This window comes from Homo sapiens, chromosome 20, assembly GCF_000001405.40.
Source record: "Homo sapiens chromosome 20, GRCh38.p14 Primary Assembly".
NCBI lineage: Eukaryota > Metazoa > Chordata > Mammalia > Primates > Hominidae > Homo > Homo sapiens.
The window spans coordinates 62,205,830-62,221,533 of record NC_000020.11 but is presented as its reverse complement, the minus strand read 5'-3'; the positions used below and the strand labels follow the sequence as shown (position 1 = coordinate 62,221,533).

General features: G+C 63.7%; 1 protein-coding gene across 3 annotated transcripts, besides 2 other annotated features; it reads left to right on the top strand.

The window, feature by feature from the left end:
• Positions 1,042 to 1,151: a silencer, noted in NCBI's record as "silent region_13104". NCBI's record gives its function as "represses an Ori minimal core promoter by ATAC-STARR-seq in GM12878 lymphoblastoid cells {active_cell/tissue: GM12878}" and the evidence as "EXISTENCE:reporter gene assay evidence [ECO:0000049][PMID:35858748]".
• Positions 1,256 to 6,574, top strand: HRH3 (histamine receptor H3). Of its 3 annotated transcripts, none has more exons than XM_017027623.2 (4): positions 1,256 to 1,813; positions 2,919 to 3,043; positions 4,608 to 5,524; positions 6,128 to 6,574. In XM_017027623.2, the coding sequence occupies exons 1-4, from the start codon at positions 1,564 to 1,566 to the stop codon at positions 6,153 to 6,155; spliced, it is 1,320 nt and encodes a 439-aa protein (XP_016883112.2). In that variant the 5' UTR covers positions 1,256 to 1,563; the 3' UTR covers positions 6,156 to 6,574. The 3 variants fall into 3 exon arrangements, with proteins under 3 accessions (XP_016883112.2, XP_005260323.1, NP_009163.2); XM_005260266.4 differs by having other exon boundaries at positions 2,877 to 3,043; NM_007232.3 differs by having other exon boundaries at positions 2,877 to 3,043; positions 4,608 to 6,574.
• Positions 6,711 to 7,211: an enhancer, noted in NCBI's record as "H3K4me1 hESC enhancer chr20:60789379-60789879 (GRCh37/hg19 assembly coordinates)". NCBI's record gives its function as "activates a minimal SCP1, AML or CMV promoter by ChIP-STARR-seq in primed H9 embryonic stem cells {active_cell/tissue: H9 hESC(primed)}" and the evidence as "EXISTENCE:reporter gene assay evidence [ECO:0000049][PMID:30033119]".

Below are 15,704 nucleotides of genomic sequence, written 5' to 3'. Positions count from 1 at the left end.
CGGGGGGCGAGGGGAAGGGGCAGGTCCCCACAGTATGGGGAAGCTGCTATAAGTAGGGGAGTGACGGTGCATGTCAGCGCCCGGGGTCCCCTCTGCAGCCCCTCCCCCAGACACGCGCACTCTGGCCTCTTTGAGGCACCAGGGATGCCTTCGGCTGCTTCCTTCTCCTGTGAGCGGAGTTGCTGCTTCCTTCTCCTGGGGCGCGGCTCCCTCCCTGCCTGCTGTCTGATGTGTGTCTCGCTCTTGGTGGGTCCTCAGCCTGGCGCTGGTGGCTGCTTCCCTGGCCTGTGGGTGTCTGTGTATCTGAGTGTGGGCATGTCTGTCTGTCTGCCCTCAGTGTTTCAGGAGGAATCTGTCCTTGACCCGGTGTATCTGAGCGCATGTGTCTGGTGGTGGGGGCGCTCCCTCCTGCCACCTCTCCTCTCCTCCCCCGTCCCCTCCCACAGGCGCTAACACAGCCACCACCTGCGCCCTGAGCGCAGTGACCTCGTCTGTCCGCTGCAGTGGCGACTGCCCCTCTGTCCACAGGGGTCCGTGGCTGGGCTCCGAGCGGCTTGCTGCTCCCTCCTCAGCCTGAGGCCGCCGGAGCCCAGGCTAGACGCGCTCCCCTCCGGCTGGGTCCGCCCGGCGCCTCATCTTCCCTTATGTAACTCCACATCTGCCTGCGCCTTGCGGGTCACCCTGGACCCTGCACTGGGCCCTGTCCACACGGAGGCTGGCACCCAGGGTCCGTGCAAACGGGAGGTGGAGCGGACCCCTGGTCTGGGCACCGGCTTTCCAAGACCCCCTCCTCCCCATCCCTTCTCCTCCAGACGTTCCTTGCCCCGGAGACCCACATTCCCAAAACATGCACCGAGGAAATGCCCCGCAGGGCAAGTCCCCGGAGCGCGGGTGCAGGCGTTTCCCCCACCCCCACCCCGGGTCCCCACAGGCGCCAGGGCTCTCCATGATGACCGGGCAGGGGTCACCAGGGCCGAGGGCACGGGAAAGGCCGAGCAACCCAGACCCCGGCTCCGAGTGCGCGGGCTGACTGACCGCAGGCGAGCCCCCAGACCCGGTCAAGCCCCGGCCGGGCTCCCAGCCAGCTGCTGTGAGCGCAGGGGCTGGGCTCCAGGCAGCCTGGCGGGCACGCGGCGCTGTCCGTGGTGCTGCCGGCGCCGGGCGGGGCGGGGGCGGGGAGGGGGCGGGGCGAGGGCGGCAGCCAATGGCGGGGGCGCTGCGCGGGGCGCGCGGGGCGGTGGGCTGGGCGCGGGGCGCACTCGGCTGCGCGTTGCGCTCCGGCTGCACGGTCGCACCGGCAGCGGCTCAGGCTCCGGCTCCTCTCCCGCTGCAGCAGCCGCGCTGCCGGCCCCACTGGGCTCGGATCCGGCCCCGGCCCCCTCGGCACCGCCTGCTCTGGCCCCGGCCCCGGCCCCGCGGACCATGCGCTGGGCGCCCCCAGGGGAACCCGACCCGGCCAAGGGCCCGCAAAGACGAGGCTCCCGGGCCGGGGCCCCTCCCGGCCGCCCAGCTCTCGGCCGGCGCCCTGCCCCGCGTCCCGGAGCCGCGTGAGCCTGCGGGGCCATGGAGCGCGCGCCGCCCGACGGGCCGCTGAACGCTTCGGGGGCGCTGGCGGGCGAGGCGGCGGCGGCGGGCGGGGCGCGCGGCTTCTCGGCAGCCTGGACCGCGGTGCTGGCCGCGCTCATGGCGCTGCTCATCGTGGCCACGGTGCTGGGCAACGCGCTGGTCATGCTCGCCTTCGTGGCCGACTCGAGCCTCCGCACCCAGAACAACTTCTTCCTGCTCAACCTCGCCATCTCCGACTTCCTCGTCGGTAAATCCCCAGCCCCTGGCCGCTGGGGACCCAGGGGCGCCCAGCGTGGCCGGGCCAGCGGGGACTGGAACACGGACCTGGGTGGCTCCCGCAGGCACACGCCCCACCAGGGGACCCGGCCTGGGAAGGGGGCGTCCGGAGCCCATGGGGTGGGGGGCACAGGCGAAGTTCCTTGCCACTCAGGCCTCGGGACAGGGGCTGGGGAGAGATGTCCCCGGGAAGGGACACGGGCACTGGGCGAGGCGCAAGGCGCAAAGGCAGCGGGTGCAGCTCTGGCTCCTGCGCTGTAGCCAAACAAAGGCTGCTGCGGACTTAGGACGCGCGGAGGGCGCAGTGGGGCGGTTTAGAGAAGGTCTGGGGGAGGGGACATGGAAGGGGGATTTTTAGAGCTGTGTTGGGGGAAGGGACGGTGGGGAAGGTGGGGGTTGGGGGAGACGCTCGGAGGAGCGTGCTCTCACGTGTCCAGGCTCTGCTGCCGGCTGGGGGGCGGGGCACGCGGAGGGGGCTGGAGCGCCAGACACCTGTTGGGGCTGTGAGGTGCGTCTCCCAGACGCTCCAAGCCCGCTTGGCAGTAGTAGTAGCGGCTGGCGGCTGGCGGCTGCAACCAAGTGCCCTTTCAGCCAGGAGAAAGGCTTTCTCCTTGTCTAAGCTGAGACCGAGGGTTGTCCAGCGCCAGGGTAGGGGCTGGAGTCCAGCGGGGGAGGGGAGAAGGAAATTGTCTTCTTTCCTCCTTTGAGGGCTGGGAGGGCTGGACAGAAGTCCAGGGAATCCCGACTCCAGGCTCTCGGGGGTCTTGTGGTGGCCAGAGTTCCCCATGCCTGGATCATCCCTCCTGCCCCCAGGCCCAGGGGACACAGATAGTGCTGGGAGCTATGTGGGGGTGAAGGCTGGCGGCAGGGCAGAGTTTGTGGCTGACACCAGGTGGAGGGGTGGTAAGATGAGGATGGCTAGTTCCAGAAAAGCAGCCACCATGTGACCCCAGGTCCCGCCGGTGTCTGCGCTTAGGTCCGTCTGTCCCCTGGCCCCTGGCTGCATGGTCCCACTGTGGCCCTACTCCCCACAGGCGCCTTCTGCATCCCACTGTATGTACCCTACGTGCTGACAGGCCGCTGGACCTTCGGCCGGGGCCTCTGCAAGCTGTGGCTGGTAGTGGACTACCTGCTGTGCACCTCCTCTGCCTTCAACATCGTGCTCATCAGCTACGACCGCTTCCTGTCGGTCACCCGAGCGGTGAGTCCTGGGCTGCGGAGCTCCTGTTCACTCCGCAGGGACAGTCGGGACGCCCATGGGAGGCACCTGGGTGGGGACGGCCACTTCTGAGTTGTGGGCAGAAGTGGGCTTGGTCCCACTGGCTTTGCTGCTGACACATGGGCCACTCGACGGCCAGCTGCCCACTCGGGGCCATGGCTGCAGCCAGACTGACCTGGCCCAGGCAGGAGACGGGGAATCTGGATGCAGATGGTCCTGAAGGCAGGGCTGTCGCTGCAGCCCCCGCCCTGGGGCAGGTCCACAGTCCCCGGAGTTAAGGGAGGATCTGGGGCCAGACGCCCTGGGTGACATCCCTCCCACATGCGTGTGTGCAGCGTGCACACACACACAGGCCCCGGGAAGGCAGGCGGCAGATCCTGGCTCCGCAGATTTCCCTTTGTGGGAGCGGCCACCTGAGTCAGGGACCCTGCCCCACCCAGGCTCCCGCATCGGGGCCATGCAGCCCAGGGAGCCGCTGCTGAAGTCACACCTTCCCCTTCTCATCTCCTTGGCAGCTCACGTCCCCAGGGCTTTATGAGGGCCTCTGCAGGACTGAGGGCAGGTTGTTTGGTTCTAGCCTAGAAAGGCTAAGAGACAGGGTGCAAAGAGCATGGCTTTGGGTTCCTCTTGAGCCCATCCCCCTGTGGTCTCTCCCTCCTTTCCTGGAGCCACCAGGCATGGGGCACAAGGAGAGCTGCCACGAAGGGTAAAGCGGCCGAGCAGAGAGCCTGGCATGGGGGTGCTCTGCCCACCTCTCATTAGCAATAGCTGTGAACATTGCTCCCACCGTCACCAAGGTAAACGCCATCAGGCTGGTGGGGGAGGGTGGCAGGGGCTCTCAGGTCCTCCTCCTCGAGCTGTCCTACCTGAGACCCCTCAGTGGGATCCCTTGGCCCTCCTGCCCCCTGCCCCCACCAGCTGGTTGCTCTCTGCCCTGAGGAGGGCCCTGCCCTCTCTCCCTCTTCTTCCCAAGAGGCCCTGATGTCGATCTGGGATGCTTTGTTCTGTGGCGGGGCGGGGGATGTCTCCCAGCAGTGGGCCAACTTGTGGCTTCACCCCTGCACCTCCAGCTCCCAGGGGTGCGAGCACCTGTGCAGGAGTGGGGCTGGACCTCCCACCCCAACCTCTGCAGATGGCTCGGGCCTTTGCAGGATCAGGATGCATCATGTCAGAAACAGCTGTGTGTGCACGTGGTCTGGGGCTGATGCTGAGTCTGGTCCCAAGGGTGCAGGGGCCAAGGACAGGACCCCCAGGGAGCTCACAGCTGGTAGGGGGTGGTAAACAGGCAGCCTAGCAGAGAGTGAGGGTTCAGGTTGGTCCCAGGGAGCTTCTGAGGCTCTCACTGAGTGTGGCAGGGCACCAGTCCGGGACCCCAGTGGGGAGGGTTAGAGGAAGGGAGGGGAAAGAGGGAGGGAGGGAGGACAGGAGGGGAAAGGAGGAGCATTGCTGCTGAGGGAAGGGCCCACATAGGGGCCCACAGGCTACGGGGGCGCACCCAGCCCAATATTCCTTCCGCCCCGCCCCTGACCAGCCTGCCCTTCTGCAGGTCTCATACCGGGCCCAGCAGGGTGACACGCGGCGGGCAGTGCGGAAGATGCTGCTGGTGTGGGTGCTGGCCTTCCTGCTGTACGGACCAGCCATCCTGAGCTGGGAGTACCTGTCCGGGGGCAGCTCCATCCCCGAGGGCCACTGCTATGCCGAGTTCTTCTACAACTGGTACTTCCTCATCACGGCTTCCACCCTGGAGTTCTTTACGCCCTTCCTCAGCGTCACCTTCTTTAACCTCAGCATCTACCTGAACATCCAGAGGCGCACCCGCCTCCGGCTGGATGGGGCTCGAGAGGCAGCCGGCCCCGAGCCCCCTCCCGAGGCCCAGCCCTCACCACCCCCACCGCCTGGCTGCTGGGGCTGCTGGCAGAAGGGGCACGGGGAGGCCATGCCGCTGCACAGGTATGGGGTGGGTGAGGCGGCCGTAGGCGCTGAGGCCGGGGAGGCGACCCTCGGGGGTGGCGGTGGGGGCGGCTCCGTGGCTTCACCCACCTCCAGCTCCGGCAGCTCCTCGAGGGGCACTGAGAGGCCGCGCTCACTCAAGAGGGGCTCCAAGCCGTCGGCGTCCTCGGCCTCGCTGGAGAAGCGCATGAAGATGGTGTCCCAGAGCTTCACCCAGCGCTTTCGGCTGTCTCGGGACAGGAAAGTGGCCAAGTCGCTGGCCGTCATCGTGAGCATCTTTGGGCTCTGCTGGGCCCCATACACGCTGCTGATGATCATCCGGGCCGCCTGCCATGGCCACTGCGTCCCTGACTACTGGTACGAAACCTCCTTCTGGCTCCTGTGGGCCAACTCGGCTGTCAACCCTGTCCTCTACCCTCTGTGCCACCACAGCTTCCGCCGGGCCTTCACCAAGCTGCTCTGCCCCCAGAAGCTCAAAATCCAGCCCCACAGCTCCCTGGAGCACTGCTGGAAGTGAGTGGCCCACCAGAGCCTCCCTCAGCCACGCCTCTCTCAGCCCAGGTCTCCTGGGCATCTGGCCCTGCTGCCCCCTACCCGGCTCGTTCCCCCAGGGGTGAGCCCCGCCGTGTCTGTGGCCCTCTCTTAATGCCACGGCAGCCACCCTGCCATGGAGGCGCCTTCCTGGGTTGGCCAGAGGGCCCCTCACTGGCTGGACTGGAGGCTGGGTGGCCGGCCCTGCCCCCCACATTCTGGCTCCACCGGGAGGGACAGTCTGGAGGTCCCAGACATGCTGCCCACCCCCTGCTGGTGCCCACCCTTCGCAGTTACTGGTTGGTGTTCTTCCCAAAGCAAGCACCTGGGTGTGCTCCAGGCTTCCTGCCCTAGCAGTTTGCCTCTGCACGTGCACACACCTGCACACCCCTGCACACACCTGCACACCGTCCCTCTCCCCGGACAAGCCCAGGACACTGCCTTTGCTGCCTTCTGTCTCTTGCATAAGCCTCAGGCCTGGCCCTTTCACCCCTCTTCCCACCAACTCTCTCTGCCCCCAAAAGTGTCAAGGGGCCCTAGGAACCTCGAAGCTGTTCTCTGCTTTTCCATTCTGGGTGTTTTCAGAAAGATGAAGAAGAAAACATGTCTGTGAACTTGATGTTCCTGGGATGTTTAATCAAGAGAGACAAAATTGCTGAGGAGCTCAGGGCTGGATTGGCAGGTGTGGGCTCCCACGCCCTCCTCCCTCCGCTAAGGCTTCCGGCTGAGCTGTGCCAGCTGCTTCTGCCCACCCCGCCTCTGGGCTCACACCAGCCCTGGTGGCCAAGCCTGCCCCGGCCACTCTGTTTGCTCACCCAGGACCTCTGGGGGTTGTTGGGAGGAGGGGGCCCGGCTGGGCCCGAGGGTCCCAAGGCGTGCAGGGGCGGTCCAGAGGAGGTGCCCGGGCAGGGGCCGCTTCGCCATGTGCTGTGCACCCGTGCCACGCGCTCTGCATGCTCCTCTGCCTGTGCCCGCTGCGCTGCCCTGCAAACCGTGAGGTCACAATAAAGTGTATTTTTTTATTGGTGCTGATTCCTGAGGACTTTGTGGGGTGCTCAGAGCCTTCGTGCTTTGAGGAGAGACTCCAGGGAGTCCAGAAACCACTGAGAAGCAGGCGTGAGGATGAGGGCTCTGTGTTTTCTTCTAAGTCGGGGGACTGCAGTGGGGATGAAAGACCAGCCTGCCACACCAGGGTTTAATCCCAAGAAGGGTTTCATGTGCCCTACCGCCAGACCCCTGCACTTCTCAAGACCTGGCTGGCGGGTGAGGAGATGCAGCCCACGCCCTGCACAGGAGGGGCCCGCTCTGGCCCTGAGAACACAGACATGCAGCCTTCCTGCCCCCAGGACAGGTGCCTCATCTTTCTTGGTCAGGAGCAGGGTTGCACCCCAGCAAAACTTGGGACCCAGGGAGGATCATGGCCATGCCCAGCGTGTGCAGGGTCTGGGTGGCAAAGGGACTGCAGTGACCAGAGGGGAGGGATTGGGCTAGCTGGCTGGAGCTAGGCTGGAGGGGCTGCTAGAAGGGATGAGCCCTGGAGCGAAGGCATCTTTGGGAGAGGAGCTGTCCTGGACAAAGGCCTGGAGGGGGGACTGAGGGTGCAGGATGAGGACGCTGGGAGGAAGATGGAGGGAGGGAAGGTAGCACCCTTCGCTGTGGCCCGTGAGCCTTTAATCCCGAAGGCCGTTGCACCTGCTCCAGGGGCCCCAGGAGAGGGAGGCAGACACCAGCCCGAACCCAGGCAGATGCTGGCCCACACCCAGGTGCTCAGAGGCCACTTGGAAACCAGACAAGCCCAACCTAGGTGAGATGCAAACTCGGTGGGCCAGGTGCCACCTCCCCCAACGTCCCGTCCCCCAGCTCCAGCCTCCAGGGTCCTGACGTCTCTGAGCCCACTCTACTTCCGACAGTGCAGCCTTGCTAGGCACGCTTCTGCTCATATCTTTCCTTCCTACCCAGGGAGAGAATCTCGCCATTTTCTGGCTACTCTCACAGCCAGTGCTGGGGGTGGGTGGAGGGTCCACCTGGGCAGGGAGACCTGCATCTCCCCCTCAAAGCACCGCTTCCCAGCCATGCCGGCTCTCAGCACTGCAGAGGGGAAGCTAACAGCAAAATGCCTCACCTCCAGACCTTTTTCACGCCCTGAAGCTAGAAGCTAGACCTGCACTTTTGTTTTCCAAACTCCCCGGAAACTTCTCCCAGAATCTGAAGCTCCACACCCCCCTCCAACCCCCATCCCCACTCTCCTTCCCCCCCATCCCTGCTCTCCCTTCCCCCATCCCCGCTCTCCCTCCCCCATCCCCGCTCTCCTTCCCCCACCCATCCCCGCTCTCCTTCCCCCCCATCCCTGCTCTCCCTTCCCCCATCCCCGCTCTCCCTCCCCCATCCCCGCTCTCCTTCCCCCACCCATCCCCGCTCTCCTTCCCCCCCATCCCTGCTCTCCCTTCCCCCATCCCCGCTCTCCTTCCCCCATCCCCGCTCTCCTTACCCCCCATCCCCGCTCTCCTTACCCCCCATCCCTGCTCTCCCTTCCCCCATCCCCGCTCTCCCTCCCCCATCCCCGCTCTCCTTCCCCCACCCATCCCCGCTCTCCTTCCCCCACCCATCCCCACTCTCCTTCCCCCACCCATCCCCACTCTCCTTCCCCCCCATCCTTGCTCTCCCTTCCCCCATCCCCGCTCTCCCTCCCCCATCCCCGCTCTCCTTACCCCCCATCCCCGCTCTCCTTACCCCCCATCCCTGCTCTCCCTTCCCCCATCCCCGCTCTCCCTCCCCCATCCCCGCTCTCCTTCCCCCACCCATCCCCGCTCTCCTTACCCCCCCCATCCCCGCTCTCCTTCCCCCACCCATCCCCACTCTCCTTACCCCCCATCCCCGCTCTCCTTCCCCCACCCATCCCCGCTCTCCTTACCCCCCATCCCCGCTCTCCTTCCCCCACCCATCCCCGCTCTCCTTCCCCCACCCATCCCCGCTCTCCTTACCCCCCATCCCCACTCTCCCTCCCCCCATCCCCGCTCTCCTTCCCCCACCCATCCCCCCTCTCCTTACCCCCCCATCCCTGCTCTCCTTCCCCCACCCATCCCCCCTCTCCTTACCCCCCATCCCTGCTCTCCTTCCGGCTCCTGGACTTCTGACTGCCTCCCAGACACTCAAGTGACCCCTCCGAGACAGGCTCCTCTTCCTGGGCAGAAGCCACACAAGGCCCCTCTTAGTGACAGAGGGAGGGGCAAGACTGGGGACACCTGGGCCTTCTTCATAATTCTAGCCCCAGCCCGTGTGCACCTCTGCCCCTGGGGCTGGGCACAGTCCCAAGCGGAGCTGGAAGCATGATGGCAGATGTCACTTTCAGAGTGGGGCGCCCCTTCTGCCTCTGGGAGGCCCTGAGGCTCCTCCAGCAGGCCAGCCGTTGGCCTCCCCTGTGGGCCCCCAGTACCACCCAGCCTGGCTCCGCAGCGGGTGTTGTTCCCATAGCCGAGAGCTGTCTGGGAAAGGACAAAGAACTGTTCTCTGCAGTGATGGATGCTTCTGTGCCGACAACCCAGCAGAGCCCTGGCTGCCCCTCCGCCCGGCCCTGCTAAATGGCTACAAATTGGAGGATACAAGCACAGGCTTTCAAGCAATTTTGCCTTCAATCTCTGGAAACTGCTGCTCCCTGGAGCTCCTGTGCGGGATGGAGGAGGAGAGAAGAAAGACACCGAGTCTATTGGGCCCGAGTTCTGCAGCAAACAAACACACAAGGGGGCCTCTCTCTGTGAGTGAGCATTTGGGAGGGGAGACAGAGCCTGCGGGCCCCGGGCTGGAGCTGCCGCCTGGGTGTCTGCCCACCCAGGCCACTGCTGTTTACTGAGCACCTACTGTGTGCCAGGCATGGTGGTGGGGAGTGGGCTGCACAGGGCAAGCACTCATGTGGTCCCTGAGCTTCTGTGAGCTGGACCAACGAACAGCCAGCCTTGAGTCCCTGAGGAACAGGGCATGCTGGGGACACAGAGGGCTACCATGGTGCATGTGGGTAGCCTGGCCACCTAGCGGGGCCACCCTCGGCCCTTCTGTTGCAGGAGACAGGGCTGCAGCCAGGCCCTGGGCGGTCCTCAGGAAATAGGGGCCCAGGCCCTCAGAGGCTGCCACTGGCTGTGTGTCTGGCCACCTCACCTGCCTCGTGCTGGTTCTGGGGTGCCCCTGGGACAGGTTCTGGGCACATGCTGGGTAAGGATCCTTCCCAGCTTGGGATGAAGCCCCTGAGCTCTCAGGGTGCCCAGCAGGCAACCCCATTTCCGTCCTGTAGGAAAGGCCCAGTTACTGGTGAGCCAGGGCCACAGCGAGGGACAGCTGGGGCCCCAGGCAAGGCTTCTGGAGCCCTGACCTGGGGGACACATGGCTGCCTGGCACTGTCTCTCTGGGCCCCCAGACCACCCAGTGCTTATAGCCGGGCCTGGAGGTATGAAGAGCCTTTCGTCCAACATTTACTGGCACTCTCCTGGGTGCCAGGTCCAGGTGGGGAACCCTATGCCCTTGAAGCCATCTTGGGAGGCACGGACCTGCTTCGTTCTACAGATATGAGAACCAGGGTTTGGGAGGCTGGTGACACCTCTGTCCCACGCCACCCTCGGCAGTTGGGAGTGCAGCCAGGACTGGACGCCAGGTGTGACTCTGAAGCCCATGCTCTTTTGGCTCCATCATGCTGTCCCTGAGTGCCTACTGTGTTCTGGGCACCAGGCAGGTGTAAGTAGCTCCCCCCACTCCCGTGGACTGTGCCCTCTTGGGGGACACCACTGTGTGCAGTTGCTGGTGGGGGTACCCCCTGGGATGGAGAGCAGAGTGGGACATCCAGGAAGCCTCTGTGGGCCTCAGAACTGAACCTCAGCTCTGCTGATCCTCACGGGAAGCATCTATGGAGTGCCACCGGGGTCCCTCCATCGTGCCGGGCACAAGACCCCACTCAGCCAAGCTGGGGCAGGAGCTGGGGGAAAGAAAAGAGAGGAGCAGGGGGTGGGCTGTGGAGCCCGAGGTCCCAGTTGCCCAGGTCAGGCAGAAAGTGTGTCTGGAGGGGAAACTGAGGCCTGGCGGACGGGGATTGCCCCAGCCCACCCAGCAGGTCTGCATTAAGGCTGGGACTAGAATCCAGACTTCCTGGGAGGGTGCCAGCCCCGACCCTTCCTGTCCCTGCCCGTCTAAGAGGCCAGGCCGGGGCTCCCTGGGCCTCGGCTTCTTCCCCTGCAGAATGGGCTCGGCCACGCTCGGGGGTGGATGGAGCAGCGGTTGGTGAGTGGCCTCTGCCTGGCCCTCCGAATCCAGTTGGCACCACTCTCCCTGCCTGGCTGCAGCTCAGCAGGCCCCTCGCCCCCGCGGGCAGGAAGCAGCTCTGGCGCCGCTGCAGGCCTCCCCATCATTACCGAAAATTGCTCCATTGTTGGCGGTGCACACACCTGCTCGCAGCGGACAGCACTGTGCTAACGTCATTAAGCGCCGGGCCTCTCAGCAGGCAGGGCTGGAGGTGGCCGGCTGGAGGAGGCTGGGAGAGGTCGCTAAGGTCCCTGGAGGGTCGCCTTCCCCCCACCCCCTCTCCTTCCTTTCTCATGGGTTGGAAATGAGCATGGGGTCTGGAGTCGGCTGGACTGGAAGGTCGGTCTGACTGGGGCCACTTCCCAGCGGTGTGACCTCAGACAGGTCCCTCAGCCCCTGGGGACCAAACAGCGCCCCCTTCACCACTGAAGTCTGGTAAGGATGGAGGGATGTCTTGCTCCCAGTGCCCCTGGGGGCCAAACCCCTCCCTGGACCTGATGGTACATCCAGGGACTGGTGCTGGGGGAACATCCAGGGTCTGCGGATCCTGGAGCAGGAGGCAGGGTCAAGGGTCAAGCTCCAGAGAGGTCTCAGTTTCCCTTTGAGGACACACAGGGGTCCGTGGAGGGGTAGAAGCCCAGCAGGGCTGGAGCAGGGAGGGGCAGGGCCAAGGTTCAGGGGTCCCTTTCTGGCGCCCGCCTGGGAGGAATCCTCTTGCTGCCAGGCACATGTGACACGCTCAGGCCGTAGTAACAAGAAGAACGGCTTCTGGCCCACAACACGACGTTTTCGGCACTGTTCTGAGCCCTTTCCTCAGCTAAACCCATCTTGTTGAAGGAGGTTAAGTGGCCTGGTGGACATCACACAGCTAACTTGGGACTATTTTCCCAACCCCTCAGCTCTCAGGGACACCTCAGGCACCTGTTCAGGAGACGCAGTTTTCTCTGGGGAACCACTGCCCCTCACTCTGGTGGGCTCGGCAGGGCCAACTCCACCCCTGGGCTCCAGGGTTCATGTGGGTCTCAGCCATGGCTCGGCGCCATCACCACAATGGGTCTGGGGTGACACACATCACATCCCCAGCCCCGCCAGTGGGCGGCAGTCCTGGGACTCTGGCTGGAAACCTGAGAAGGAGGTGCCCTCTCCAGCTGGAGCGGCCGTCCTGGCCGCCTTCGAGGCTGCCCTTGCCGAGGCTGCCTGGTGGAGGGAGTCCGCCTGGAGCAGACAGCAAGGAAGAAAGCCAAGCTGAGAGCTGCGGGGAGGCGGATTCCCCATGCTGTCGTACCTGAGCACCTGGATCCAACCCTGCCTGAAGCTAGACCTGGGGCTTAATGTTTAACAAATTACCAAGTCCATCTTCTTTCCTAAAGCCCATACAAGATGCATTTTTATAACTGGAGTGGGAAAAATCCTGCCAGGTGAGACTCTGCCCAGGCTGGCATCCTCTACCTCAGGGAAGAACGGGTCACTCCTGCCCAAGGGAGGTCTGTGGCTCTGACTAATGAAAAGTGGGGAAGTTAGAAGATTTTCTGATAGATAATAGTGTGTTTGTCACGGTTGCGGCAGGAAAGGCATCTCCCAACACTGCAAGCTCTGGAGAGAGGAAGGTGCTGTCCTTTCTGTCCACAGGAGGCATCCATGAGATGCCTCGCCCAGGCGGCCTGCCTCGAGTGGCCCCAGCAGGGAGAGGCTTCAGCCCCTGCCCACAGCCCGTCCAGACCACCCCCTCAGGGGCTGGAAGAAGGCAGGGGAGGCTTCGGGGAAGGGTGTACCTCGTTCCCCTAAACCCCTGGCGGTCCTCTCCCCCAGGTGGCCCCGTCTCCCGGCAACCCCTCCCGGGAGGCACCACTAAGGAAAATCAGTGTTGAAGCCACTCTCCCTGCCACCACCTCCCCCTTGCTTGGGTCACTACCTCCTTTCCTTGGGGTCACCAGATAAGAAGCAGGACGCTCCTTAGGGTCACCAGATAAGATGCAGAGCCCTGAACTTCAGTGTCAGGATGAATAATGTTTCAGCGTGCACCTCACATGCAGTGCACTCTTCATTGTAAATCCAAAACTCCACTCTAGCAGCGTGGGCTGTGCCTGCCTGAGCAAACCTGCCCACTCCCTTTTCTCTCCCTCCAAGGCCCTCCCTCCGCTGACGGGGACACTGGGGGTGGGACGGGGTGCTGAGTTTTAAGAAGCCACGAAGCTCTTTGGCAAGGAAGAGAAGGGGCTAGGGTTGGGGTTGGGTGGGGGACTGGGGGAGTGGCTTCCTGGGACCTGGACCCTGGGGCCTGGACCCTGGGGCCTGGTAGGGGGCGGCAGGCTGGGCACCAGGGGCGTGGGTTGCCCAGCACACGGGGTGGGGGGGGGCGCGCGGAGCCTAGCCACCAGACCCATGAGGCTCTGCTCCACCCTTGGCTGGGGATCCCAGGTGACATCCGGGACCCCTGTGAGCCCAGAGGATCCTGAACAGGGAAGGTGCCCCTCTGTACCCAGGCAGGGCGAAGGGAGACTGCTCCAGGCCCAGGCGGGGAAGGTATGGCCTTGGCTCATTGGCTGGGTCTTGTTATCCCCACTGGACTGAGGAGGGAACAAGGCAGGGGGAGTGAGACACCCCCGCCCCCACCCTCAACACCCAGCCGGGCCACGGCCAGGCCTGTTCCCCTGGAGGCCATGGCAGAAAGCGGAATGATTTCCTGGCTCTGGGGAACATCATGGATCCATTGGGACCCATTGATTTTTTGCAAAGAAGCAATTTTTTTTTCTCCTAAGGAACCAGACGATTACAAGAAAGAAGAAACGATCAGGTAGCCCTGTTTCTCGCGAGCCCTGTCCCCAGCACCCACTCCTGGGGAGGGGTGGTAGTTCCCATGCAGGCCTGTCTTGCACCCCATGGGTTCAGCAGCCTGTGGGCCATCAGGTCATTAGGGCACATCCAGGGACCCTGCCCCTGTCTTGCCTGTGTGGCTAACCCCATGTCACATGGAGGAGCCTAGGGTCCTCTCTGACTGTCTGGCTCCTTTCAGAAGTGGAGACCCTGGCCTGGGGGTAGGGCTGTTGGTGGAGCCAGTCCTGGCAGTAAGAATATGAATTATTCGAACAGCAGGCAGGGTTGGGCCTGCCGTGCGTCCTCTGTACGGCCTCTTCCTGGCGGTGCTGCTAGAGATGTCCCCAGATCCAGGATCCTCGGCAGCGGCAAAGCCCAGGAGGGATGTTTCCTGCAAAATTCTAACACCAACGGGTGTGCAGCCTGCAGAAAAGTTTGCTTTTGTTTTCAGCTGACCTCACGCTGTCTTCTTCTAGCAGAGATTGAGCAAGAGCACCAGGAGGGGACAGTCCCAGGAGGGCTGGGGTGGTTGCAGCCCGAACATTCCATGGAGCCTCCAGGAGCTCGCCAGAGGGCAGTGGGCTCCCGACGCCTTGACTTTTCCTCTTTCGAGATTGTTGTAGATTCCATGCTGTTGGGTGCAACACTACAGAGACCCCACGTGCCCTTTATCGGCTTCCCCCACAGGGAAGCTTGGGTGAGCCACCCTCTAAGACCACAACACACGCCATCGCCGCACGCAGGACACACGCCATCGCCGCACGCAGGTTCCCACTCCCCTGCACTCGTGTGTGTGTGGCATGTTTAGTTTTATGTCATATATATATATATATATATATATATATAAATTTTTTTTTTTTTTGAGCCAGAGTCTTGCTCTGTCGCCCAGGCTGGAGTGCAGTGGCACGATCTCGGCTCACTGCAAACTCAGCCTCCTGCATAGCTGGGACCACAGGTGCCTGCCACCACACCCAGCTAATTTTTTTGTATTTTTAGTAGAGACGGGGTTTCACTGTGTTAGCCAGGATGGTCTCGATCTCCTGACCTCATGATCCGCCCACCTCGGCCTCCCAAAGTGCTGGGATTACAGGCGTGAGCCACCGCGCCCGGCCTATGTCATATTTTTTATCGTGGTGATAAACATAAAGTTCACCACTTGAGCTATCTGAAGTGTGCGGTTCAGTGGCTCTCCCATCACCACCCTCCACCTTCAGAGCCGGTCATCTTCCCAGCCTGAAACACTAAGCCAACAGGATTCTTTCGCACGTGCAGACTCGTGGCCCCACCGCCAACACACAGGGTGATGGTCTGAGGACCCTGGCATGGCCCTTTTGTGTCCACGGCTACCTCCACCCTCCCGCCCTCCTCAGCCCGAGGACCGCCAATCCATTCTCCTCATCGTTTCTGGAACACTCTGTAGAGGGAACCATCGTGTGTGACCTCCTGGCACTGGCTCTCCCCGGCTTGACACCTGCGGTCCCCAGGTGGACGCCATGCACGCAGAGCTGCACCCCGCCCCCGCCAAGCACTGCCGCACCCCGCGGCTCTGCAGCCTCTTTAGCGGCACCAGGACAGGTCCCCGGCACGTGTGTTCACTGATGAGACGCTCCGGTTGCCTCAGCATGTCTGCCCTTCAGGCCTCCATCCCGGGGCCAGCGCCGACCCGGGCACTGCATACAGACAAACGAGGTCTCTGTTCTCCAGGAGCTTAGGGCGGGGGGGCGACGGCGGCTAACGTGAAGTGTGGAAAGTGCGTGCACGAGAGGGTGGTGGGCCCAACTGTGCAGAGCCTGGGCGCGTGTGGCTGTCTTTGGCTTTTTGACTAGAGGGCATTTCACGGGGTGTCTGGGCAGGGCACTGGGTCACAGGGATCAGCAACACCAAAGCCTGCAGTCCAAGGAGTGGCCTCAGCATGGCTCAGACATAGGAAGGGGCAGTGGGGCTGGTGCTGTGGGCACCAGGGACTCCCAGTGAGGGGCCTGGCTTCCTGGCACAGCCACAGGGGAAGACTGAGGGGCCCGGGCACCAAGTAGGGGAGACATTAGCAGGCCACTGCCATCGTCCAGAG